This window comes from Homo sapiens, chromosome 20 (genome assembly GCF_000001405.40).
Source record: "Homo sapiens chromosome 20, GRCh38.p14 Primary Assembly".
Taxonomy (NCBI): Eukaryota; Metazoa; Chordata; class Mammalia; order Primates; family Hominidae; genus Homo; species Homo sapiens.
In genome coordinates this window covers 2,754,954-2,782,143 of record NC_000020.11, presented here as the reverse complement: position 1 = coordinate 2,782,143, position 27,190 = coordinate 2,754,954, and the positions used below count along the sequence as shown (strand labels likewise).

Sequence of the window (27,190 nt, the reverse complement as noted above, 5' to 3'; positions counted from 1 at the left end):
CCTCACCACCAAAGAACTCCCTTATGTTACTTTTTTGTATTTGTGTCCCTGCCTCCCCCATCTCCACTTCTTTCCCTTGCTTACTCCTAATTTGTTCTCTCATTTCTATAGTTTTGTCATTTAGAGAATGTTATAGGAATGGAATAATACAGCATGTAACCTTTTGAGATGGACTGTTTTTTCACTAAGCATAATGCCCTTGACATTCATCAAGGTTGTTGCATGCCTCGATAGTTCATATCTTTGTATTGCAGAATTATATTGCTTTATATGGATGTTCCAGAGCTTGTTCAACCATTCACTCATTAAAGGACATTTGAGTTGTTTCCAGTATTTTGCTATTATAAATAGGGCTAATAGGAACATTCAAGAACAGATTTTTGTATGCACATAAGTTTTCATTTTTCTGGGATAAATGCCCAAGGGTGTGATTGCTGGATCATATAGTAAGTGTATGTGAGTGTCTGTGCCATTTACATTCCCATCAGGAATGTACGAGAGAGCCAGCTTCTCTGCGTACTTGTCACCACTTGGTGTTACCATGACTTGTTATTTTAGCTGTTCATTACGCACCTATTTTAGCTGTTCTAATAGGTGTACAGTGAAATAGTGTGGCTTTAATTTGCATTTCCCTAATGGCTAAGGATGTTGGACATCTTTTCACATGCTTATTTGCCACCTAAATCTCCTCTTTGGAAAAATATCTGTTTATATCTTTTGCCCATTTTATAATTGGATTGTTTTTATTTTTTTTTAACTGCAGAGTTTTTTTAAACTGCCCATTTAAAAAAAATTGGATTGTTTCTTTTCTTATTTTTAAGTTTTGAGAGTTAGATACAAGTGCTTTTTCTGATATATGATTTGTAAATATTTTCTCCCAATCTGTGGTTTGTTTTTTCATTCTCTCTTTCACTTTCTTAAGGAAAAAAAAGAGACTTGTTTTATTTGAGTGATTGGTCTATGTAATTGCTGAGGCCACTGAGTACAGACAAGGAGGGTGGGGGCGCTGTTTTTCTTTGTCTCTTTCTCCTTGGACTGAGCCTTGATGAACCTTCTTGGACGGCAGGTGAATATATTTGTATACTTCCTTGGTCTTAGACCTCAACTTGTGGATGTGTTCCATAAGAATCCGTGTATTTTTGAACATGTTCTCTTTCACCTTCAGGTATAGGCTGTGATACATGTGGTGGCCAGTCTTCTTAGATTCCCAGTATCTTCCGACCAGCTGATGCAGAATTCGCATCCTCCCCATCCAGGGTAACTTCTTTGGCACTCGAGCATTGACAATATCCTTTCACTTACTTACGCCCATATTCCTGCCCTCTTGGCAGGTCAAGGTGTTTTTCCTGCATGAAGCCCAGGAAAGGACAGTCAGGGGCTTGGGATTATCAGCCCATCTTTGATCAGCTTTTGAATCTGCTGGCAGGTGTTGGCATTGGCGATTTCGTTGGTCTTGTTAAGGTCCAGCCAGACCATCTTTTTGCCACAGTGGAGAATCTTAGAGGCAAGTCTCTTCTGAAGCTTGGACATACAGCTGCTGCTGCAGTGACGAAAGGAAACAACTTTATTCTCTTAATAGTGTTTTTTGCAGAGCAGAAGTTTTAAATTTCGAGAAAGTGAAACTTATCCTTTTTTTCCTCTTATAGATGGTGTTTTTGTGTCCTATCTGGAAGCTCTTTGACTAACCAAAGGTCACGAATATTTTCTCCTAAGTCTAAGAGTTTTATAGTTTTACATATTAATTTACGTTTATCATATATTTTGAGTTAATTTATATATATATATGAAATGTAAGTCTAGGTTTTTATTTTTGCATGTGGAAGTCCAGTTGTTCCAGCACCTTTTGTTGAAACGACTGTTCTTTCTTCATTGAATTGTCTTTACATCTTTGTCAAAAATCAGCTGACCATATTTATGTGGGTCTATTTCTAGAATTTTTAGTTTGTTCCATTGGCATTTGTCTTTTTGCCAATATCACAATGCCTTGACTATTGGTAGCTTTATGATACATCTTAGAACCGGGTAGTGTGCACATGCAAAAGAATGCAGCCGGATCCTTTTGTTGCACCGTATCCAAAAATTAATTCGCAATGGATCAAACCCTGCACTGAAGAGCTAACACCATAAAATTCCTAGGAGAAAAAAGCAGTGAAAAATCTTCATGACATTGAATTTGTCAATCATTTCTTGGATATGTCACCAAAGTACAGTCAACAAGAGAAAAAAACATAAGGTGAACTTCATCAAAATTAAAAACTTTTGTGCATCAAAGAAGAGAATGAAACGACAGCCCACAGAATGGCAGAAAATATTTGCAGAAATGTAAATATCCAGAATATGTAAAGAACTTCTACAACTCAACATAAAACAAACAAACAAAAAACCTAATTCAAAAATGGAAAAATGGACAAGGAACTTTTTTTTTTTTTTGAGACGGAGTCTTGCTCTGTCGCCCAGGCTGGAGTGCGGTGGCGCCATCTCGGCTCACTGCAAGCTCCGCCTCCCGGGTTCAGGCCATTCTCCTGCCTCAGCCCTGGGACTACAGGCGCCCGCCACCACGCCCAGCTAATTTTTTTTGTATTTTTAGTAGAGACGGGGTTTCACCGTGTTAGCCAGGATGGTCTCGATCTCCTGACCTCATGATCTGCCCGCCTCGGCCTCCCAAAGCGCTGAGATGACAGGCGTGAGCCACCGCGCCCGGCCTGGACAAGGAACTTTAATAAACATTTCTTCAAAGACGATACGCGAATGCCCAATAAGCACATGAAAAAATGCTCAACATCATTAGTCATTAGGGAAATACAAATGGAAACGAGATACCACTTTACACCCTAAATTAGAATAACTACTATCAATAAAATTAACAATAAAAAGTGTTGGTGGGCTGGGCACGGTGGCTCATGCCTGTAATTTCAGCACTTTGGGAGGCCCAGCCAGGTGGATCACTTGAGGCCAGGAGTTTGAGACCAGCCTGGCGGACATGGTGAAACCTCATCTCTACCAAAACTACAAAAATTAGCTGGGCGTGGGGGCGCTTGCCTGTAGCCTCAGCTACTCAGGAGGCTGAGGCATGAGAATTCCTTGAACCCAGGAGGCGGAGGTTGCAGCGAGCTGAGATGGTGCCACTGCATTCAAGCCTGGACAACAGAGCGAGACTGTCTCAAAACAAAACAAAACAAACAAACAAAAAGGTGTTGGTGATGTGGAGAAATCAAAACGTTTGTGCATTGCTAGAATGTAAAACATTGCGTCTGTGGTGGGAAACAGTTCAGTGATTCCTCAAAAAGTTAAACACAGAATTACAATATGACCCAGCAATTTCACTTCTCAATATTCTTCCAAAGAATTGAAAGCAGTGACTCAAAGAGATACTCGTACACCAAGTGTTCACAGCAGCATTATTCACAATATCCAAAAGGTGAAAACAACCCATGTGTTCAAACAGATGAATGAATACACAAAATGTGGTATACACACAAAATAGAATATTACTCAGCCATAAAAAGGAATAAAATTCTGACACAAGCAGCTACAGCAAGGATGAACTTTGCAAATATTATGCTAAGAGAAATAAGCCAGACACAAAAGGACAAATATATGATTCCGCTTATATGAAGTAACTGGAATAGGCAAATTCATAGACACAGAAAGTAGAATAGAGGTTACCAGGGACTTGGGGGAGGGAGTGAGGAGTTAATGTCCAGTGGGTACAGGGTTTCTGTTTGGAATGATGAACAAGTTCTGGAAATAGATAGTAATGCTGGCTACACAACCTTGTGAATGTATTTAATGCCACTGAATTTGAATTATACACTTAAAAATGGCTGAGAGCTGGGTGTGGTGGCAGAAGCCTGTGTTCCCGGCTACTCAGGAAGCTGAGCTAGGAGGATCACTCTAGCCCGGGAGTTCGAATCTAGCCTTGGCAACATAGTGAGACTCCATTTCTTTAAAAAAAAAAAAAAAAAGCTAAATGGTAAATTTCATCTTATCCATGCTTTACCACAATAAAACAATCTGGGAGGCCGGGTCCAGTGCCTCACGCCTGTAATCCCAGCACTTTGGGAGGCTGAAGCGGGTGGATCACCTGAGGTCAGGAGTTCGAGACCAGCCTGGCCAACATGGCGAAACCCTGTCTCTACCAAAAATACAAAAATTAGCTGGGCGTGGTGGCGTGCACCTGTAATCCTAGCTACTTGGGAGGCTGAGGCAGGAGAATCACTTGAACCTGGGAGGCAGAGGTTGTGGTGAGCTGAGATTGCACCATTGCACTCCAACCGGGGCAACAGAGCAAGACTTCGTCTCAAAAACAAACAAACAACAAACATCAATCTGGGAAACACACACACATACACATACAAATGGGTAGTGTGAATCCTATGCCTTTTTCTTTTCAAACTTGTTTTGGCTATTACCGTCTTCTTACCTTTCCATACACAGTTTAGATTTACCTTGTCTATCTCCAAAGAATTTTGCTAGGATTTTGATTGGAATTGCATTAAATCTGTGGGTCAATCTGGGGACAATTGGCATCTTAACTATAATGTAAGGCTGGGTGTGGTGGCTCACGCCTGTAATCCAGGACTTTGGGAGGCTGAGGCGGGCAGATCACGAGGTCAGGAGTTCGAGACCAGCCTGGCCAACACAGTGAAGCCCCGTCTCTACTAAAAATACAAAAATTAGCTAGGCATGGTGGCAAGCACCTGTAGTCCCAGCTACTTGGGAAGCTGAGGCAGGAGAATCGCTTGAGCCTGGGAGGCAGGATTGTGGTGAGCCAAGATCGCGCCACTGTACTCTAACCTGGGCCACAGAGCAAGACTCTGTCTCAAAAAAAACAAAAACAACAACAACAACAACAAAACAAAACTATACTGTACTTCCCAATCCTTGAACACTGTGTGTTTATTCGCTTATTAGGTCTTCTTCTAGCTCTTTCATTGGCGTTTTGTAGTTTCCAGCATACAGATCCTGCACATCTTATGTTAGATTTATATTGAAGTATTTCATTTTTCGAGCTCTTATCAATGGTATTTTTATGGGCTGAATTATTTCACCCCAATTCATATACTGAAGTCCTAACCCCCAAGACTTCAGATTGTGACTGTATTTGGAGACAGAACCTTAAAGAAGTAATTAAGTTCACATGGGTGGGCCCTAATCCAGTATGACTAGTGTCCCTTTAAGAAGAGAGAGAGGCTGGCGTGGTGGCTTACACCTGTAATCCCAGCACTTTGGGAGGCCAAGGTGGGCGGAGCTGTTGAGGTCAGGAGTTTGAGACCAGCCTGGCTAACATGGCGAAACCCCATCTTTACTAAAAATACAAAAATTAGCCAGGGGTGGTGGCACGAGTCTGTAATTCCAGCTACTCAGGAGGCTGAGGCAGGCGAATCGCTTGAACGAGGGAGGTGGAGGTTTCAGTGAGCCGAGATTGCACCACTGCATTCCAGCCTGGGCAACTGAGTGAGACTGTCTCAAAAAAAAAAAAAAAAAAAGAGAGGAGAGAGACACAAGAGTTTTCTCTGTCCACCATGTGAAGACATAGGGAGAAGGTAGGCACCTGTAGGGCCAGGAGAGAGGCTTTAAGAGAAACCAAATCAGCTGATACTTCGATCTTTGACTTCCACCCTCTAGAACTGTGAGAAAATAAATCTCTGTCGTTTTAGCCACTTGGTCTGTGGTACTTTTTAATGTCAGTCCTAGCAAACAAATGCAGGTGTTATTTTTTAAATTTGATTTTTAATTGTTCCTTGCTAATATATTGAAATGTAGTTGATTTTTGTATATTGATCTCAAATCTTGTGATCTTGATAAACTTGAATATTAGTTAGAAGCTTTATTTTTTTTTTTTTTGACAGCTGTCTCACTCTATTGCCCAGGCTGTGTGCTGCAGTGGTGCGATCCAGCTTACTGCAGCTTCAGACTCCTGGGCTCAAGTGATCCTCCTGCCTCAGCTTCCCAAGTAGCTGGGACCACAGGCACACACCACTATGTCTGGCCATTTTAAACATTTTTTGTAGAGATGGAGTCTCCCTGTGTTGCTCAGGCTGGTCTCGAACTTCTGGCCTCAGGCAGTTCTCCTGTCTTGGCCTCCCAAAGTGCTGGGATTACACGTGTGAGGCACCATGCTTGGCCGTGGAGCTGTTTTTTTCCAAATATATACATATATATATTCCTTAGGATTTTATGCACAGATGATTATATCATTTGTGAGTGGGAATAATTTTATTTTTTCCTTTCAATATTAAGACTTTTGTTTATTTTTCTTGCCTTATCACACTTGCTAGGGCTTCTAGTACTATATTAAATGAAAGTTAAGAAACAATGGCTGAAAACTGCTCAAATTTTGTGAAAGCCATATATTTTCAGATCAAAGAAGCACAAACAAAAGTGGTAAGACTGGGCATCCTTGCCTACTTCCTGATTTTAGGGCAAAAACATTCAGTTTAGGGTTAGCTGTTAGGTTTTCATAGATACCCTTTATCATGTTGTAGAGGTTTTCTTCTCATCCTAGCTGGCTGAGAATTTTTATAGCAGATGTTAGGTTTGTCAAATGCTTTTTCTGCATCTTTTGAGGTGACCGTATATTTTCTCTCTTTCAGTTTGTTACGGTGGTGGATTTTATATTAGAGTTCCATCCCAATTAGAAAAGAAGATCAGAAACAGTCCTCATTCACATAAATATTTACTCAGTGTTTTGCCCTAGGGCTATGTTAATTTTCCTGGTCTGTATCATAATATAGTTTGAAGGTCTCTGTACTATCCATATGTCATGCAGACACTGCAGTGATCCTTTATGTTACTGACGTCATGCAGGCGGGCAGGATGAGCACAACATGGCTAGCACACTGGAGGCCTTGGTGAGACACATGCAATCCAGATGGTAGGAGATAAACTCTGGGAGGGTTCAGGGACCTGCCATTTTGGTCAAGTTTTACGGGGTCTGTTGGCCAAGGGCATGCCAGGATAGCTCCTCCAAAGTTAGAGACTAATTGCTGTATTTTGTATCCCCTGCCACAAAGAAGGAAGCACAGCACTTGGTGGCCTCTGGATTCTGGAAACAACACATTTCTCACCCAGGAATACTGCTTCAGCTAATACATCAGGTGACACGAAGGCTGTCGGCTTTGGGGGAGGGGCAAGTGCTCCTGTATGTTTATCTTAATTATTGTCGTTAAGGAATAAATATTAACATAACACTTTTTTTGGGGGGGGGGCTTGAGGAAGAGACACCTTTTTCTAATTTGTACAGACATCATATGTACTATGCTTGACATGAAACCTATTTAATTTCCATGGAGAGGAAGACAAAGGTGGTTTCAGCCTCTGCGAGAAAGTTCCAAGCTCAATGCCCCCATGTTTGTGAAGCAGTATGGAGGCAACAAAGAGCACAGGCTTGGCAGGATGCAGTGGCTCACGCCTCTACTCTCAGCACTTTGGGAGGCCAAGGTGGGTGGATCACCTGAGGTTAGGAGTTTGAAACCAGCCTGGCCAAGATAGTAAAACCCCGTCTCTACTAAAAATACAAAAATTAGTCGGGCATGGTGGCACATGTCTATAATCGCTTGAACCTGGGAGGCAGAGGTTGCAGTGAGCCGAGATCGCGCCACTGCACTCCAGCTTGGAAGACAGAGTGAGACCCTGTATCAGAAAAAAACAAAACAAAACAAAACAAAGCAAAGCACAGGTTCAAAATTTAATTTAAAACTATCACTTACTAAAATCTGCATGTGAGGAGAAGAATTGGGGGAGTACACTCAATATAGTGACCCAACCCCTGAGACAACTTAGAACTTTAAGTTACAAATGTTCTTTTAATTACAGCTTTATTAGAAACACAGCTATATGAAATATAGATACCTCTGATGGCTTAGGTTACTTATTAGGTTACTAATACGAGCTTCAAAAAGTGTTTCAGGGCTGGGCGCAGTGGCTCATGTCTGTAATCCCAAACTTTGGGAGGTCAAGGAAGGAGGATTGCTTGAGGCCAGGAATTCAAGATCAGCTTGGGCAGCATAGCGAGACTGCATCTCTACAAAAAATTAAAAAATTAGCTGGGCGTGATGGCACGTGCCTGTGGTCCCAGCTACTCAGGAGGCTGAGCAGGAGGGTTGTTTGAGCCCAAGGGTTCAAGGTTATAGTAAGTTATTGTCGTGCCACTACACTCCGGCCTGGGAGACAGAGTGAGAATGTGTCTTAAAAAAAAAAAAAAAAAAACAGAGGCCAGGCAGGGTGGCTCAGGCCTGTAATCCCAGCACTTTGGGAGGCCGAGGTGAGCAGATCATGAGGTCAAAGCTCGAGACCATCCTGGCCAACACGGTGAAACCCCGTCTCTACTAAAAATACAAAAATTAGCTGGGCGTGGTGGCACGTGCCTATAGTCCCAGCTACTCGGGAGGCTGAGCAGGAGAATTGCTTGAACCTGGGAGGCAGAGGTTGTGGTGAGCTGAGATCGCACCACTGCACTCCAGCCTGGTGATAGAGCGAGACTCTGTCTCAAAACAAAAACAAAAAAACAAAACAGAACAAACCCCCCCCCAAAAAAAATGAAAACAGTGTTTCAGTGGCTGAAGGCCCTTATGACATGAGTGATAAGTGGCAAATTTTCAGCCACTATTTCTTCCAGTATTTTTCTTCTTTTCTTTCTTTTTCTTTTCCTTTTTTTGAGATAGGGTCTCATTCTATTGCCCAGGCTGGAGTACAACAGTGCAATCTCAGCTCACTGCAACCTCTGCCTCCCACACTCAAACCATCCTCCCACCTTAGCCTCCTGAGTAGCTGGGACTAAGATGTATGCCACCACATGTGGCTAATTTTTGTATTTTTTGTAGAGGCAAGGTTTCACCATGTTGCCCAGGCTGGTCTCAAACTCCTGAGCTCACACAATCCTCCTGCCTCAGTTTCCCAAAGTGCTGGGATTACAGGCATGAGCCACCACACCCAGCCCTGCTCTCCTTCCGGAACTCCAGTGACACTAATATTAGCTCTTTCGTTATAGCTCCACAGTCTCTAGAGGTTCTCTTTATCTTTTTTTTTTTTTCAGTTTCTCTTCTCTCTTTACAGATTTGGCCATTTCTATTATTCTGTCATTGAGTTTATGGATTTTTTCCTTTGTACCTTCCATTTTGTTGTTGAGCCCATCCACTGAATTTTAAAATTTTAGTGATTCTGTTTTGTCAGTTTCAGTGTTTCCATTTGGCTCTTGTTATCATCTACTTTTTCAGAGACTTTCTATTTCTTTGCTGAGGCAATTTTTTCATTTATTTTAAGCATATTCTTAGTTGTTTGTTGAAGTATCTTGATCATGACTACTTTAATATCTTCATCGGTTAATTCTAGCATCTTGGTGTTACATCCAATAGATGGCCTTTCTTTATTTGGTTTGAGATCTTCCTGGTTCCTGGCATGACAAGTGATTTTTGGTTGAAACTTGGCCTTTTTTCTTTTTTTTTTGAGATGGAGTTTCGCTCTTGTTGCCCAGGCTGGAGTGCAATGGCGCCATCTCGGCTCACCAAAACCTCCACCTCCTGGGTTCAAGTGATTCTTCTGCCTCTGCCTCCCAAGTAGCTGGGATTACAGGCATGAGTCACCACGCCCAGCTATTTTTGTATTTTTGGTAGAGACGGGGTTTCTCCATGTTGGTCAGGCTGGTCTCGAACTCCCAACCTCAGGTGATCCGCCCGCCTCGGCCTCCCAAAGTGCTGGGATTACAGGCATGAGTCACTGCGCCCGGCCTGAAATTTGGACCTTTTTGTATTGTGTTACCAGACTCTGGATCTTATTTAAACTTTATGTTTTAGCCAGGCGTGGTGGTGCATGCCTGTAGTCCCAGCTACTTGGGATGCTGAGTGGAGAGGATTGCTTGAGCCCAGGAGTTCAAGGCTGCAGCGAGTTGTGATCATGCCACTGCACTCCAGCTTGGATGACAGAGCAAGACCCTGTCTCTTTAAAAATAAAATTGAAAAATATGAATAGATAAATATAAACTTTATGTTTTAGCTGACTTTTTTCTGACACCTATCTGTCTGGCAGGGCAAGGCAGGGTCGGGAGGGGTGAGGTCGGGTCTTCCCTGCCAGGTGGGAGTAAAAAATGACCTATATTGACACCTGTAGGGGGCAGGTGCTCCTTTTTACTGATGGGCAAAGGTGGGAAGTCTGACTCCAGTTGTGATCTCCACTGACACCACCGCTGGAGGGCGAAGAGGCAGGGTAGGTGGTCTAATAAATTGCTCTGGGCCATGGCGAAAATCCTGACTCTCCACAAGGCTTCCTGTGACACATCTCAGCAGGAAGCGGGAGAGGCGCCTCTTTACTGGGGAGTACAGGCCGGAAATCCAGGTTCTTCACGTGGTTCCCAGCGTGGTGGTGGTGCTAGTGATACCGTGGAGCACGGAGGAGGCCCCTTTGCTGGCTGACACAGATGGATGGCTCAACTCTCTGCCCGGTCTTCACTGGCACTGCTCTGGTGATGGTCGTTGGGGAACCTCACTGCAGCCTTGGGAGGGTGGAATTTAGGCTCCCCACTGCGCCTTTGCTGTGCGGATGTAGGTGGGGTCTCAGTTTATTCTGTGGGGCTTGGCTGAAGTAAAGTGGTTTTTGTGTCTCGGTTTCAGCCTTACTAGGTTGCTGTTCACTTGGTCCTTTGGCTAGAGGAGCAGGTTTTTATTGGAGCTTTTTTTTATTTTTTGGCATGCCATGGCATTGCTGTGTTGCCAGTTTCTTAAGTTCCAAATCTAGGATATGTGGAACAGAAAGAAAACCCAGGGGATTCTCTGCCATGTCTTTCCTGGGGTGCAGAGGCCTCTAAATCATCTGCCTCTTTTTCTCCCCCATTCAGAACCCTTTTCTCCCCCCAGAATCTGTTTATGCTTGTTTTATATATAATGTCCAGGGTTTTATTTTTCATTTTTATTTATTTATTTTTTTAAGCAACAAGGTCTCGCTGTTGCTCAGGCTGGAGTGCAGTGGTGCTACTATAACCTCAAACTCTTGGCCTCAAGCCATCCTCCAGCCTCAGTCCCGAGTAGCTGGGACTACAGGTGCGCACTACTGCGCCTGGCTAATTTTTCTTTTGTAGAGTCAGGTGGTCTCACTATGTTGCACTGGCTGGTCTCGAACTCCTGGCTTCAAGTGATCCTCCTACTTGGGCCTCCCAAAGTGTTGGGATTACAGGCGTGAGCCATCCAGGGTTTTAAATTAGACTTAGCAGAAGAAATGGCAAACCTACATCATTCCATCTTCTGGGAAGTCTCTACTTTTCTTGTTTTGTTTGTCTTTGGAGCATGAGGTGCTTTTCACACGTTTTCTTTTCTCTTCAGCTTCCTCCACCTCCTGTCATATTTCCAGTGGGGTGCCTCTTTCTGGGGCTCACCCTCCCAGAGGACACTGCTGTCCTTCCTCTCTGGGCACTGGATTGAGTCCCTTGGACTTCCCTTCGCCACTTTGTTCTAATTTCTGTGAGCTTCCCCTACTTAGTCAGTAGTGTCCCTATTGCCTAAGGGAAATTAGTGTTGCTGCCGGGCATTGCAGAGGGAGAAACAGAGCAGACTCAGAGTTTTTGTTTTGTTTGGGAAACAGACTCCTTTTTTTTGTTTTTGTTTGTGTTTTGTTTTGTTTTGTTTTGTTTTGGAGACAGAGTCTTGCTCTGTCACCGAGGCTGGAGTGCAGTGGCGTGATCTCGACTCACTGCAACCTCCGCCTACCGGGTTCAAGCAGTTCTCCTGCCTCAGCCTCCCAAGTAGGTGGGATTACAGGCACGCCCCACCCCGCCCGGCTAATAGTTTTTTATTTTTAGTAGAGATGGGGTTTCACCATGTTGGCCAGGCTGGTTTCCAACTCCTGACCTCAAGTGATCAGCCCGCCTCGGCCTCCCAAAGTGATGGGATTATAGGCATGAGCCACCGCACCTGGCCTGGAAACAGACTCTTGAGTATGAAAATGGAAGGCCACAGGGAAGCAGGAGCAGATGCCAAGGCGATATCTTGGAAAGAGACTAGAGCAACAGCAAGACTGCCAGCCCTCACCCTACCTTAGGGACTGGCTCAGCGTCACTGATCTGGGAGGTAGAAGAGAAGGGAAATGGGGTTCAGCCTGGGTAGGGGGTAGGTGGGAGGACAGGCAGAAGAGCGAGTCAGCTTTTAGAGACATCCAAGGCAATGATGGGTGTCCCGAGCCAGCAGAGCTGATGTGGACAGCACCTATGGCCCTCCCAAGCAGTGACTATGATTGAGTCAACTGCGTGCTTGCTGTGTGTGTCCACCTCTGCTGCACAGCTCTGTTGAGCATCACCTGATCTCCCTGAGTGGATTCCTGCCCTTTGTTTGTCAATGGCCCAGGACATTCCCTATAAGCCCTACTTGAAACAGAAGGGGAGTCCTTGCCACCCAAGAAGTAGGGCTGGTATAAAGACGGGCGTCGCTCCTGGTCTCGGATTTACTAGGTAGAGGGGTGCAGTGGAGGCTCTTAGAGTTCCACCAGATCCTTACCAGCCAGTGTGCTCATCCCCAACTGGGGTGAGTGTTGGCTGCTGACAGCTCACAGCTGCCCCCTTCTCCCAAGTATTGTCCTTGGCCAAATGGGAGCTGCTTTGCCCAGGAGGTTTCACTCTCCACTCTCCTCTGGCAGCCTCCAACCAGTGGCTGACAGGCTCAGGGATATTAGAGGCATCTCCTTGTCATGGCAGGGTCCAACTGAGGTGCCCTTCATGCTTAGGCTCCGCGTGGGACTGTGCTAGCCTCCTGCAGAGACTTGCCCAGCTCTTTCCCCTACCCTGTTCTGCTTTCTTCTCTCCTTTTTGTCCAGAGAGCCCTTTCATGTGCACACAAATCCCCATTTCAGGCTCTGCGTCCAGGGAACCCCCGCTAAAATAATGGGCTGATGGTATGGGCTGAACAAATTGTGGATCTGGCTGGACACAGTGGCTCACATCTGTAATCTCAGCACTTTGGGAGGCAGAGGTAGGAGGATTGCTTGAGGGCAGGAGTTCAAGACTATCCTGGGCAACATAGTGAGACCCCTGTCTCTACAAAAAATAGAAAAATTAGTCGGGTATGGTGGCACATGCCTGTAGTCCCAGCTACTCAGGAGGCTGAGGTAGGATTGCTTGAGCTCAGGAGGTCGAGGCGGCAGTGAGCTGAGACAGTGCCACTGTACTCCAACCTGGGCAACAGAACAAGACCCTGTCTCAAAAAAAAAAAAATTAAACTCTGGCTCTAACAGCAACGTAGCCCCATCCCACCGGGCTGTGTTAAGGGAAGAAGAGGTCTTGCCAGAGCTCTTTCTCCTCCCCTGGCAGCTCCTGCTTTATGCCCACACCCACACAGGCACACACTCCTCCCCGCACCCCCTCCCCACCATGTCTTCTCCTGCACAGCTGCTTCCCAGAGGAAGTGGGTTGAGGAATTCTGTCAACCTTCACACTTGATGATAGCCTTTTACACTTTCAGTTGAGACCAAAAGAGATGCTGCCCCGTCCTCACTCAACAAGGGACAGAGAGATGCCCAGAAGTCTCTCGGTACCTGCTCCTGGCCCCACCTGACTCTGTAGGGCTCTGTGTTGTGGAACCTGCAGGGGCACCATGGACAGACCTGCCAGGTTTGGGCCTGCTCAGCCACTCGACCACATTCCACCGGCAGCCACAGTTTGTCTTGGCAAGGTCAGCCTCCAGGCCCAGCTCCAGGAAGGCCCTGGGGAGCAGCCCAGACAAACCAGCTTTCACCACAGAAGCCAGCGCTGGCTGGGCTTGAGGCAGTGCCAGCCTGAGAGTGGCTGGAGCCTCCCCCACCCACCTAAAGGTGAACTCAGTTCTGGGTGAGCGGGTGGGTGCGTGGAGGGGGCAGGCTCCTACATGGGTGGAACCCCCAGAGAGGCAGCAGGGGCAGGAGCCAAGCCAGAGGGTTTTTCTGCCCTACACGAATCAGCCCTTCAGGAACTGGACTCATGGGATGACTGCCCGGAGCTGCGGCAGCCTAGCCCGAGCCTCCTCCTCACACCCCACCAGATGAGGGTGCATCAGGGCAGCGCTCGCTCCCAGGCTGGCAGGGGAGGGGCAGGAGAGGCTTTGGAGAATGAAGATGCTGGGATGCTGAGCCCCAGGGAACAGCAAATCTGCTACTGGACGGCCAGCTTTCCTTCCCCCATAAACACTTGGCGCCTTCTCTCTCAAGGAATAAAATACTCAAAAAGGAATGTATACAAATAAAACCGTCTTGTTGCTGTTCCTGCCCTGCTAGGCAGCCTCTCCTGCATCTTTAGAGCCATGAATTCTCTTCCGTTCTGTCTCCAGTGGGGGTCTCTGAGACCCTCCTACCCATTCTGCTTGGCAGTCTCTGCAGCTTCAAACCCAGGACCTCCCACCCTCCTGAGGCTGCCACTCTGTGACCCCCTGCCAAGGTGAGGCAAGGAGGGAAGCTTTGAGTATCTTCACCTTTGGAAGTGAGTGGTCAGGGGCTCCTGAACAGAGGACTCACGAGGACTGTTCTGGATTTCCAACAGAGGGGACCCAGAGCTAAGGAGCCCAGCTGGGTTTGAATCTTAATGGTTAGAATAGAATGGTAAAAGATGGGTTAGAGTCAAAGTAGAATGACTTAGTGAGAGATTAATTTGTGTTTGTTCTTGTGTTTTTCCCTCCACTGCTCCTAGAAGGTAGCCAAAGCCAGTGTAGCAGTGTGAGGTACCGAGGTGGTCTGCAGAAAGCCTAGCTCCTCCAGGAGAAGCGGGTAAGGGCGAGGGCCAGTGAGTGCCTTCTTAGAGAGTAGTGCAGAGAGAGAAAGAGAAAATGGGCTCTGTGTTAATAATTGGTATACCCTGTATAAAGAATAAGGCCAGGCATGGTGGCTCATGCCTGTAATCCCAGCACTTTCGGAGGCCAAGGAGAGCAGATCACTTGAGGTCAGGGGTTCCAGACCAGCCTGGCCAACATGGTGAAAGCTCATCTGTACTAAAAATACAAAAATTAGCCAGGCATGGTGGTGTGAGCCTGTAATCCCAGCTACTTAGGAGGCTGAGGCGAGAGAATCACTTGAACCAGGGAGGGGAGGTTGCAGTGAGCTGAGATCGTGCCATTGCACTCAAAAAAAAAAAAAAAAGAATATATGGCCATTTACAATTAAACATACAATTAGCTAAAGCAGTGGCTTAAAATTAGACATGTAATTAATATAATTCAGCACATTAACGAAATAATGGAGAAAGTAATTTGATTACTTAATACATGAAGAAAAATATTTCACAAATTTTGGCATCTATTTATAATTTTTAAACATTTTTAGAAAATTAGGAATAGAAGGATATCTATAAACCAAATACGATGCTTAATGATGGAATATTAAAAGTTTGCCCTCCAGAATCAGGAGCAAAACAAAGATGTCCACTCTCACTACTTCTATTCAACATTGTATTGGAGGTTGCAGCCAGTGCATTTAAGCAAGAAAAATAAGTAAAAATAAAAAAGTAAGGACTGCAAGTGAAGAAATGAAACTGTCCTTTTTTTGCAGATGACATAACTATGTAGCTAAGAAAATTCAAGATAATCTAAGGATAAGTGGCTAAGCAAGATTGCTGGATACAAGGTAATTATACAAAAATCCATTGTTTCTATATATTCACAACAAATAAAATTAAGAAAATGATACTATTTATAATATCACAAAATAATCAAATAGAAATAAATGAAATAGGTGCAAAACTTTCATACAGAAGTCTATAAAACATTATTAAGAGAAGTCTTAAAAGATCTAAATAAATGGAGGGATATACAATATTCATAGATTGAAACACACAATATTTTAAAGACATCAATTCTCCATTAATTAGTCTGTAAATTTAATGTAATCCCAATGAAAATCCAGCAGGTTTTTTTGTGTTTTTTTTTGGGAGATGGAGTCTTGCTCTGTTGCCCAGGCTATAGTGCAGTGGTGTGATCTTGGCTCACTGCAACCTCTGCCTCTAGGGTTCAAGAAATTCTCCTGCCTCAGCCTCCTGAGTAGCTGGGACTACAGGCGCATGCCACCATGCCTGGCTAATTTTTTGCATTTTAGTAGAGATGGGGTTTCACTGTGTTGCCCAGGCTGGTCTTGAACTCCTGAGCTCAGGCAATCTGCCTGCCAGTTTAAAAAATAGAAATTAATAAACTGAGTATAAAATTTGTATTGAAATGAAAAGGACCACATGTAGCCAACATAATTGTGAAGAACTAAGTTGAACAGGCCGGGTGTAGTGGTTCAAGCCTGTAATACGAGCACTTTGGGAGGCTAAGGCAGGAGGATCACTTCAGGCCAGAAGTTCAAGACCAGCCTGGGTAACATAGTGAGGCCCTATTTCTATAAAAAAATAAAAATAAAAATAAAAAAATTTGAAAGGAAGAATTAAATTGGATGACTTGCCATACATACTACATAGCAAAACATACTATAAATCTAAAGTTATTAAGATAATGTGGCACGGGTATAAGGCTAGATAAAAAGACAAATGGATCAGAATAGAGAATCCAGGACAGACACATACATATATGAACATTTGATTTATAACAAAGATTTCACTTCAATGAAGTGGGGGAAAATATACTCATTTCAGTAAATGGTGCTGGGCCAATTGGCTAACCATATGAAAAAAAATTAAATTTGATCTCTAGCTTACACTGTACACAAAAATAAATTTTAGTTGGATTGTGGACCTAAATATAAAAGCCACAAACAAGAAAAATTCTAAAATATCTTCTTGACTTTGGTGTAAGTGAAGATTTTAAAATTTATTTTATTTTAATTTCATTTAATTAATCAATTAATTTTTTTGAGATGGGGTCTCATTCTGTTGCCCAGGCTATGGCGTGATCTCAGCTTACTGCAACCTCTGCCTCCTGGGTTCAAGTGATTCTCTTGCCTCAGCCTCCTGAGTAGCTGGGACTACGGGCATGCGCCACCATGCCCGACTAATTTTTGTATTTTTAGCAGAGACGGGGTAGACGGGGTTTCATTATGTTGGCCAGGCTGGTCTTGAACTCCTGACCTCAGGTGATCCGCCCACCTTGGCCTCCCAGAGTGCTAGGATTACAGGTGTGAGCCACCGCACCTGGCAGAAGATTTGTTTAAAAGCACACAAAAGGGGAGGTGAAGCGTGAAGCAAAATAATACATAAATTAAAAGCATACGAGAAACGCTAATCATAAAGAAAAGATTAATAACTTAGACTACATTCAATTAAGACATTCTGGTTATCAAAAATCTAATGGCCGGGTGTGTGGCTCACAACTATAATCCCAGCACTTTGGGAGGCTGAGGCAGGTGGATTATTTGAGCCCAGGAGTTTGAGACCAACCTGGGCAACATGGAGAAACTTGTCTCTACAAAACACACACCCAAAAATTAGCCTAGCGTGGTGGTACGTGACTGTGGTCCCAGCTACTCTGGGGGCTGAAGCGGGAGGATCACTTGAGCCAGGAGGCTGAGGCTGCAGTGAGCTGTGATTGTGCCACTGCGCTCCAGCCTAGGTGACAGAGCAAGACCCTGTCTCAAAAAAAAAAAAAAAAAAAAAGAAAAGAAAAGAAAAAGAAAATCTCATAATGAAGGCAGGCGTGGTGGCTTACGCCTGTAATACCAGCACTGTGGGAGTCTGAGGCAGGAGGATCACTTGAACCCAGGAGTTTGAGACCAGTCTGGGCAATATAGTGAGACCTCCATCTCTTACCCCCTAAAAAATTAGCTGGGTGTGGTACCTGTAGTCCCAACTACTCAAGTGGCTGAGGCAGGAGGGTTGCTTGAACCCAGGAGTGAGCTATGATTGTGCCATTGCACTCCAGCCTGGGTGACAGAGTGAAACCCTGACACACACACACACACACACACACACACACCTCTTAGTAAGAGTGAAGAGAAGGGGAGCATGGGAGAAGTGATAAGAGGATGCTAGGTCCATATTTGTGGTCGATGCCTCGCCCCCATCAGGACTCTCACAGTGAAGGTCTTCTTGTGAACGGCCAACTTCTAGGCTGGTGGCTCCAAGGAGGTGACCCATTCCCTTCCATCACCCAGTGAGTGTTGTTACTACCACTGAGGTGGTAGCAGAGGAGGGAGCTGTGGACAGGGTGGGGAAGGCGGCTGGCCCAGGATAAGCAGTTAAGAGCTTTGGGAAATCACTAACCATGAAGACCTAGTCTCTCCTCGGGTAGAAAGACACTGTGAACTGTGAACTTTTTCCTATTTGGAAAAGTTCTCCTAGAGAAGTGAAAAGAGACTTTAGGGTCCATTTGAACCATTTCAAATATGTCCAGTGCTTGCTTCATTCCAAAGTTGGTCACATGGGTAGAAAAACAGACCTTGGATATCACTCTGGCAAAAAGCTTCTAGTCTATCTTCAGGGGCGTAAAGATTTATTGCTTTAGGTTTCACAGTTCCATCCACAATCCACCTGAAATTGATTTTTGTGTATGGTGTGAGGTAGAGGCCAAATGTAATTTTTGCATATGGCTATCCAATTAACCCAACACCATTTTCTTTTTTGAGAGATGGGGGTCTCACTTGTTGCCCAGGCTGGCCTCAAACCCCTGGGCTCAAGCAATCCTCCTGCCTCAGCCTCCCAAATAGCTGCCTGGGCTCTAACGTCATATTTTTAAAAGACCATCCTTTCCACACTGCGCAGCAGTTTCCATTTCTCTAGGGGATTTTTCTTTTTGGAAGAAGTTAAAAGGCTCTGCCAATATGGGGAGGGGGCAGGGAGAATGCTATTTTGCAGAATAGTCAGCAGAGGGCTGGTCAAAGCTGCTGCCTGGCTTCTCTTGAGCCAGTGAGACCTGTCTATAGCGGGTCCTGTCTGAGCCAAAATGTAGCCCCAGAAGCTCTCTGGTCCCCAGGGTCAGATGCAAAGTGTAGCAGCCTGGTTCTGCTGGGAAAAATTTGTAAGAGGAAAGCAGAGGACTTACTGGAGATGCACTCTCTCTGAACGGTGAGCAGCCAAGCGTCTGGTGCCCTTTCTATTCCCACCCCCATTAGAAGCCTGGGGGTGGGCTGACGCTGAGAGGGACCCCTTTGTCACCTGGCATCTTGGTACTTCAACAAGAAATAGCCTGGGCAGTTTTTGTCACCTGGTGCCAGGTAGAGGTGGGATCTGCAGATATAGGAAAAATCCATGCCTACTCCAAACTTACTTTAAGTAGAAAAAACCATCTTCCCCTGGATGACTGCCAGGGACCACCTCCAGGTATGTGCCCCACCCACATCCCCTCATCTGTACCTCCTCTGTGTACTCCTGTCTGATTCCAACTGTCAGCTCCTGCTTCTCTTTGTCTGAGTGTTTTCTCTAGCTACTGGGACTGTTTTACCACCTGTGGGGAAGACTGGAGGTGCCAGAAAGCTAGTGCTGCCCTCCCACTCCATCCAGAAGCCCTAACCACTGACTGATGAGAATTAGTGTATAAGTACCCCAGCTGCCTCACTCCTCAGGTGCGAAATTCCTGAGGTATGCATTTTATAGCCTCCCAGAGCTCCCAGCTGGGATTAAGCTTCAGAAAAACCCACAGTAGTAGCGTGCTCAGTAGCACTCTGTATTGGGCTTCCTTCTTTCTGCTGCCTCCCCTCCCTGCTCCCCTGACCGGTGCGTTCTGCAATTGTTGCCCAAATAAACCATCTGGACCCACCTCCTGTCCCAAGGTCTGCTGCTGGGGGAACTGAAATGAAGACAACTTCCATTCCAGGCGAATGATCCCACCCTGACCAATATTCACATAGGAATTGGAGCTAAGGTTAGGATTTTCATCACTTGCCTGGGATATCCAGGCTCTGTAGGGATGAATGCCAATGAGCCAATCAATTCTACTTGTGTGCAAGGCCTCAGGACTGAGCTAAACTAAGACCTAGTCATTTGATAGCATTTATTGGGTAGTGGGTCTCCACTACAGATTTATGTAAGCTCCAGGCCAAGTTTCTGCCACTTGGCTTAATGTCATCCTCAGGTGCTATTGAGAATGGAACCTCTTTGACTACAGGATGTGGGAAGTCTGAAAGGTGTTCCATTTGCAAGGCCCAGAAGATGCCCCAGTTGCTTTGCAGAAGGTGCCACAGACCCAGACACAGGCCCCGGTTTGCTGGTGGGCCGGTCTTGTACTGACTCATGGTCAGCAGTTTGACTTGCTCCTCACTGATTATAGACTACAAGAAGGCCTGGTGTGATATTGACTTGGCTAATAGTTTTCATCTCAAATAACAACTCTGATCAGTAGCTTCGTTGAAAATGATTCTGTCATCACGGTGGTTTTGTGGCATAGCAGAGGCTCTTGGTGCCCTGTCCACATCATCTCGGATTACTGTCCCAGAATTTGCTGACAATATTCTACAACAAAGCCTAACTGGTGATTTTTCCTCCATGTAGTGGGGAGGGGCAGGCCAGAAACACTAAAGGGTTAATTTCCTGGAGGCAGCCCTCAGCTCACAGATGGAAAAAAAAATGTTGTATTAGTTTGCTTGGGCTACCATAACAAAATACCATGGACTGGGTGGCTTAAACCACAGAATTTTGCTTTCTTACAGTCCTAGAGGCCGCAAGTCACAGGCCAAGGTGCCAGTTGATTTGATTCCTGGTGAGGGCTCTCTTCCTGGTTTGCAGACGGCTGCCTTCTCTGTGTCCTTACCTGACAGAGAGAGTGCACTCTGGTGTCTCTTCCTCTTCTTATAAGAGCACAACTTCTATTGGATCAAGACTCTACTCTGATGACCTCGTCCAACCTTAATCACCTCCTTAAAGGCTCCATCCTCAATACAGTCACATGGGAGGTTAATGCTTCAACATATGGATTTTAGGGAGGCACAATCCAGGCCATTGCAAACATGGTAACTGGTTAGCTATGTCTGCTGTGGATGAAGGAAAAGGACAGTGTGGACTCAAATGGTGGCTTGAGCAGCATTGTGGGATTGTTAGGGACAGACATCATGTCTCATTTATATCCACCATGGCACCTGACCCATCCTGGGAACCAGAGTGTGACCACTATCCAGTTATCACCTGTGTCCAGTGCAGATTAGAACTTTGCAGGGCCTCAGCTGGGAGGGCCCTGGGCAATGGGAGCTGCTCAGAGCCAAATAAAGCAGGGCGTGGGCAGGCAGGCTTTGGTGCTCTGAGTGGGAGGCCACGCAAGCACTGAGAATGGGACAGGATGACCAGAAGGCAGCATGACCTCTTGCCCTGTGTCCAGGAGAGATGAATCCCAGGTGCTAGCCAAGAACACCAGAGAAAGAAGTAGAGGCCTCTGAAAGACAGGACCAGCCCATGTGCCCTGGCAAGTGTGCCTGTCCAGAAGGCTGCATTTGCAGGTCATGGACGCATGGGTTGAAAGGGCCAGGGTGTCCAGAGGCCAGAGCCCAGGAGCAGGGCCAGGAAGAGAAAGAGGAAAGCCTGAGGCCTGGGGCTAGACACGGGGCTCACCGGATCATGGGTCAAAAAAGTGGCTTTCAGGGTCAGACAGCCAGACCATCATCCAGGGGACATATCTCAGGGGGACAACTGGGACTCATCCTAGAGGGGTGGGTGGTGGAGCGAATGGGCATAGGAATCTTGCCTCCTTACCCTCCTTCCACCCAAACTCTGAGGCAGGTGAGCCGTAAGGTGCCTAGGCCTGGGGGTGGGGGCCGTGGGATGGGATTGGGGTGCAGCTCAGATAAACAGCCCTGGGAGCCACAAGCTGCCCCACCCAGCCCAGGCGTGGCCCTGCAGCCTCTGTGTTGGATTGGATCTAATTTCTGAGCCTCTGGACATCTGGGTCATATTTGGTTTGGTCTGTCCTGGTTCTCAGCAATGTCCTGACAACCACCACTTTGATCTTGACTGGAGAGCTGGGCAGCTGAGTCCTCAGTGGCCCTATTATGCTCCCAGGCAGAGCTCAGGCCTGCTAGCCTGCTCCCCCTCCCCCAACAGTCCCCAAGAACAGACGTGGGGCAGGGAATACTTGCTTTAGTCGAACTCTGGGGCTGCTTAAAAAGCCCGAGGCGCAAGAGGGCTCCCCGGGGGCAGGGTTTGGAGCCTCCCCTAGAGCTGCTGAACTGCTAAGAAAAGCAAACTCACACCAAGGAGGCAGGTGAGAGGCCGGGCGGGCACCACCTGCATCTGGTTTATTGTTCTGTTTTCTCCAAACTTAGCAGAGCAGAATGTGAGGCCACCTGGGGGGCGGCTGGGCCCGCTGCGTGGGGCCAGCCAGAGTCATTGTGAGTGTGTGGGGCCAGAGTCCATGAGACATCCACTGGGGGAAGACCCCAAATACAGGAGGCCTGGCACCCCCTCTTCTGCCTCCTCCATGCCCAAAGCCCCCACAGGGAGGCATGATGCGGCAAGCATGAGAGTGCAGGTCTCAAAGGAAGTGGGGGCAGCTGCGGGGCCAAGCAGCTGTTGGAAGCTCCACGGGAGCCTGGGCAGGCCTCCCGAGGCTGCGGGGCGCCACCCTTTCGCTGCAGAGAAGTTGGGATGCTGGGCCAGTTGAGATGGGTCAGATGCAAACAGGACCTTTCCAGGTCACTTCTCCCTGAGCTGTCCTCTTTCCCACGGTCCCCATCCCACGCTCCCCTCACTCAACAACCCTGGTCTGCACAAGATCCATCTCTTTCAGAGGAACCAAGACCCAGACAGTGAGGCCCAGAATCCCAGCACCTCCCTGCGATGCTGTCCTGCCAAGAGCATCTGCACAGTGCTGGGGCTTCTGACTACCCCAAGACAGGGAGGCGAGAGAAGCCTGTGGGGCTGCTAGCGGGGAGGCTTGAGCATGGGGTGAAGGCCTCTCCCCGTTCAGCTCACGGGTTGAGGTCCGCCCATGGCCCTGGCCCTGCATCTGTCTGTGCCACCATCCGGGGTGTGGCTGTGAATCCCAGAGGGACCTCCAGTCCGGGCTCCATGGGAACAGCTGCAGACCTGGTGGGGCGAGAGAGGGAGAGAAGAAGGTCGGGGAGGAAGGCTGGCTGCCAGGGGACAGGAAGCCACTTCTCTCTACCTGGTCAGCTTGGGTTACTGGGGTGGGCCAAGTACCTCAGAAAGCTGTCTAGATGGGCCCCGGGGAGGAAGACTTGGACCCCAGCTCCCCATCCCTGTGGGGCTGCTAGCGGGGAGGCTTGAGCACAGGATGAAGGCCTTTAGAGAGCAAGCACATCTCAGGGCCAGGTGGGGCGGGGGAGGCCAGACCCAGCCAGAGACCTACCGTAATTAGGAGTATGCCAGGCCCTGAAGCCCCCGGGCTGGAGAGTGAAACTTGTCAGAATCCTCAAAAGACTGGTCTGCAGTAGTCAAGGAAAAAGGAGCCATAAGCCATGTGCCACCTGGGAAGCCACCTGCCTGTCACTCTCTGGGCTGGAGACAGCAGGCAGGGGATATAGCACTTTCTGAAGGCAGTCAGCCATCCCTAGCCCTGGCCCATGGCAGCACTGCAGATCGGGGTGAGGGGTGCCTCTCAGATGCTCAGGGGATGCAGCCCACGCCCTTGCTCCCTACCTCCCTCAAGAGAGAGACGACCCCAGGCTCCTTCTCCCAGGGTGGCCTCCTTCAGAGGGCCCATCTGCTTCCTCAAGCGCATGGCCATGTACCAGGGCAGAAAAGGAAAGAGGCCAGCCTCCAGGAATACTGACTGACATACCCACAACAGCATCCTCTGTGCCTCCCACACCTACGAAGTTTGTCACTCCACCACTCCCCACCCCTACCTGACCCCCTCCCATGGTTCTCTTTGCTGGCAGGAGAAATTGGTGACCCTCTGTTCTCTCCATCCTTCACATTCTAAGCTCCAGACACACCTAAGAAAAATTATCCAAAACTTGGAAATAAGGCAAAAAAAGTGACTGTGTATCCTTTCAAAGCCACCGTAGAGCATTATCAAATAAGCCCATCTTAAGAGTCATCTTATTCTGGGGCATGTGACGTCTTTTGACTTCACGCTACTGGCTAGGGCCCAGGCTTTGCTCGGTTGGATGGATGTTCACTTGGAGGAGGCTGAGAAATGGCTGATGACTTCTCATTGGTAGAAAAGACAGTCCCCAGAGGAAGGTTACAAGTTTATTGCTCTGTAGAAGCAGTTTGCAGCCAGCAATCTTATTCCAGCCCTCCTTGTTTTACTGGCTTCAGTCTCTCACTGTCTCCTTTAAGCCGCTCTGTCATCCTGTTAGCTCCCTCACTGATGAGTTAAATAAATCTTTGGCATATATTTGTATGTTATTTATTTATTTACTTATTTACTGAGACAGAGTCTTGCTCTCTTGTCCAGGCTAGACAGACTGGAGTGCAATGGTGCAATCTCAGCTTACTGCAGCCTTGACCTCCCAGTCTCAAGTGATCCTCCCACCTCAGCCTCCCGAGTAGCTGGGACTACAGGCATGCGCCACCACACCCAGCTCATTTTTCTATTTTTTTTAGAGACGAGGTTTTGCCATCTTGCCCAGACTGGTCTTGAACTCCTGATCTCAAGCGATCTGCCCACCTCGGCCTGCCAAAGTGCTAGGATTACACGTGTGAGCCACTGCATCTGGCCATGTTATGTTCTTAATGTTTTGAACGTGGGCTCCAAATCTCTGCCTTCCCACCCACATACCTTCAGCCTAAGGTCTACTCTATCTAGGGCATTCCTCCCCCACTAAGAACCCCTGCCTTCTTCAAACCTTGCTTGGGCAAGTCCTTCCCTGAATATGGGCTACCCTCTGGATGGGTCACCAAGCAGCCCCCTTGCCCTCCCGCCCTCCCTGGCACAAAAGTCTGTTATTGTTTGAGTCACCATCACAGGCCTGCCTGAACTGTGCAGAGGGGGTTCCCTGGTGGGAAGGGACCCCATTCTGTGTGCAGGGCAGGGCATCAGCACAGTTCTCAGAAGCTTCTGGGCTGCACCTAGTTGCTCTGACTGCCCTCAGGGTAGCCGATTCTGTGGGACGCTGCGGACATGTATCATCCTCAGTTGTTCTCCCAGGCCCTGAGCTTTCCCATCCTCTTTCCAGCGTCCCCGGACTCTCATACAGGGACCCTGGAGCACAGAGGCTCCATAGAGCATTTTCCACAGCCCCCTCCCCTGTCTCAGCCTGGAGGCTGCCCCACCTGCCCCTGCCTTGGATTTGGAGATGGTTCTGGGGCCCAAGCCACTGGCCTTGCTCTTGTGATAGGCATCCCAGCCTGATCAGCCCCTACATCAGGCTGAGGAAACCATGAGGGTGTCTCTTCCTGCATCTCAAGGTCATTCCCCAGGAACTAATCTCAAGATGCTGTTAGAAAAATACATTTTTGTGCTCAAATAAATTTGCATCTCCTGTTTCCTAGAAGGTTCACAACGTACCCTGGCACATGAAAGGCTCTGACAAATTCTTCAGTAGCCACTTACGTAATTTCAACACTGATTCTTTCCTAATGCTCTGTTGCTCTGACCCATTATTGTCTTGGGGAATACTCAATAGGACGTGCTCTAACCCAACCTCTTCCAGATCAGTGCCCCACAAACTGCACTGCAGCCTTCTGTGTGGGTGTGAACGGTGCCCTTCTGACTCATATATTCATTCAATAATTTGACTATTTATTAAACACCTGCTGCATGCCAGATTGAGTCCTAGGGGATCCCGTGGAAGCATCCCTTAGCCAGAAAAGAAAACACCTGTAAGCCTCTTAGGGAAGACACTGGCCCTGGCCCCCACCATCCCCATCAACAAGGACCTGTTCTGCCCCACCCACATCCTGTTGCCTCCTCCTTTTCCACAGCCAGTCCCTTCCTCTGTCCTCCCAGTGAGTTTCCAATCACCACGTGGATAGGAAAGGCTCTGCTGGTTCAAAGGTTCTGCTGCACATGGGTAAAGTGAGAGAACAGCCATTTCATGAATGGGATGTGGGAAGATGACTTGGTCTCAAGTCCTAATCTGTAAAATGCGGGGAGGGAAGCTGGGCTAAGCCTCTTCTAAGGTCAGTCCCCTTCCATGGTCAGCGACCCAGTCCCTCACAGTGGTGTGTGCTACCCTCTGGTGGACACAGGGAGGCACAGGTACAGGCGTGCAGCCCACCAGCTCTGAGGGTCTTTGCTCTGGGCTCAGCTGGATGGGGATGGAGTGTTGGGGTAGTTTCTAGACCTCATCAACTGTGATTTGAGTCTCTTCCCCTTGGCCAAGTGGTCAACTGAGAGCATCCAGAATGGTGACCATCCCAGGCTGGGAGGCCAGGGCAGAGGGGGCCAGAGGGACCTCCCTGGACCCCAGCAGAGCTCCCTGCTCTCCGTCCTCCAAGAAGAGCAGGTTAGCCAGCATGAGGCACTGGTGAGATGTGGACAGAGCAGGCCCCTGTAGCCCAGCTGCTCCACAAGGGCCCTTCCTTCCTGCCACAGTGAGGCAGGGTGGATCACTCACCTGGAAGCCCCTCTCCGTGGGCTCTGGGGCAGGCCTGGGGTGGGGAGCTTGGGGGGCGCAGCACGGGGGCGAAGGCGCTCCTCTGTTTGACGGCGGAGATCATGTTGACAGGCGAGAAGGAGAACACGCTGGTGGTGGGGGCAGCGGCCGGGAGGGACATGGAGGAGGCAGCCGCCAGCGGGGGGCTAGAGGGCATGACTCCGGGGCGGGGCGGGGAGGGGCAGGCGCAGCAGGGAAGGTGGTGGGAGACACAACAGGGAGACAGCACCAGAGTGAGCAGCTTGGCTGGGGCCCCACATGGGCTGCTGACACAGGTACCAGGCTCAGATCTCACTGGGAGCTGTGAGGGTCCTGGGCCAGCCCTGACCTCTCAGCGGTTCTGGAGACCTTTTCTCGGGGCTGGGGATGACAGGGCCAGACCAGGTAAAGACAAAAGCAAAACCAGAACATTCAAAAAAAACAAACAGTGGGAGGTACCCCCCAAAAATGAGATGAGCAACAGCTGGACTACTTCAGGATTTCTGCTGAAAACCCCTGGGATTCTGAGATGCTAGGAAACATTTATGAGCCTTGCTTGGGGTGCCAAGGCTAGAGTCATAGTTCAGGAGTCACAGAAGAGCTGGAACAAGTAGTTAGGGATGAAGTTTGGGGGAACGCACAGGCTCCTGTTATAAGCCTCTCTGCCCAGCATCACAAACAGCACTCCAACTTCCTCCTCAAATATGCTCTCCTTGCCAATGTTCCCTATGCTCCTCTGTCCCTCTCCCACTTCCCCCTGCACCCTGGGGTACTTTGTTTCCTTACAGCTTAATGCAGGTCCTTGTCATCTCCAGCCTGGGCCCTGTGGGGGGGGGTGGTCTCCTGAATCTCC

General features: G+C 47.7%; 1 protein-coding gene and 1 pseudogene across 8 annotated transcripts in view, besides 3 other annotated features; both read right to left on the bottom strand.

The window, feature by feature from the left end:
* On the bottom strand, positions 1,102 to 1,529 carry RPL19P1 (ribosomal protein L19 pseudogene 1; annotated as a pseudogene).
* Positions 8,479 to 8,628: an enhancer, noted in NCBI's record as "active region_17471". NCBI's record gives its function as "activates an Ori minimal core promoter by ATAC-STARR-seq in GM12878 lymphoblastoid cells {active_cell/tissue: GM12878}" and the evidence as "EXISTENCE:reporter gene assay evidence [ECO:0000049][PMID:35858748]".
* Positions 9,967 to 10,261: a silencer, noted in NCBI's record as "tiled region #9456; HepG2 Repressive non-DNase unmatched - State 20:ReprD". NCBI's record gives its function as "represses a minimal TATA promoter and a strong SV40 promoter by Sharpr-MPRA in HepG2 cells {active_cell/tissue: HepG2}" and the evidence as "EXISTENCE:reporter gene assay evidence [ECO:0000049][PMID:27701403]".
* The window catches only part of EBF4 (EBF family member 4), a 67,329-nt gene continuing 62,174 nt past the window's right edge, over positions 22,036 to 27,190 (bottom strand). For 6 of the 8 annotated variants that reach the window (NM_001395167.1, NM_001395168.1, NM_001110514.2 and 3 more), the window contains 3 exons: positions 26,320 to 26,517; positions 23,160 to 23,235; positions 22,036 to 22,876 (listed from right to left, as the gene is read on the bottom strand). In NM_001395167.1, the coding sequence (NP_001382096.1) occupies positions 23,165 to 23,235; positions 26,320 to 26,517 (269 nt within the window). In that variant the 3' untranslated portion in view covers positions 22,036 to 22,876; positions 23,160 to 23,164. Of the gene's footprint in view, positions 22,877 to 23,159; positions 23,236 to 26,319; positions 26,518 to 27,190 lie in introns of those variants that run through there. The other 2 variants (NR_138537.2, XM_047440335.1) reach the window with 2 other exon arrangements.
* Positions 22,160 to 22,810: an enhancer, noted in NCBI's record as "H3K27ac-H3K4me1 hESC enhancer chr20:2739980-2740630 (GRCh37/hg19 assembly coordinates)". NCBI's record gives its function as "activates a minimal SCP1, AML or CMV promoter by ChIP-STARR-seq in primed H9 embryonic stem cells {active_cell/tissue: H9 hESC(primed)}" and the evidence as "EXISTENCE:reporter gene assay evidence [ECO:0000049][PMID:30033119]".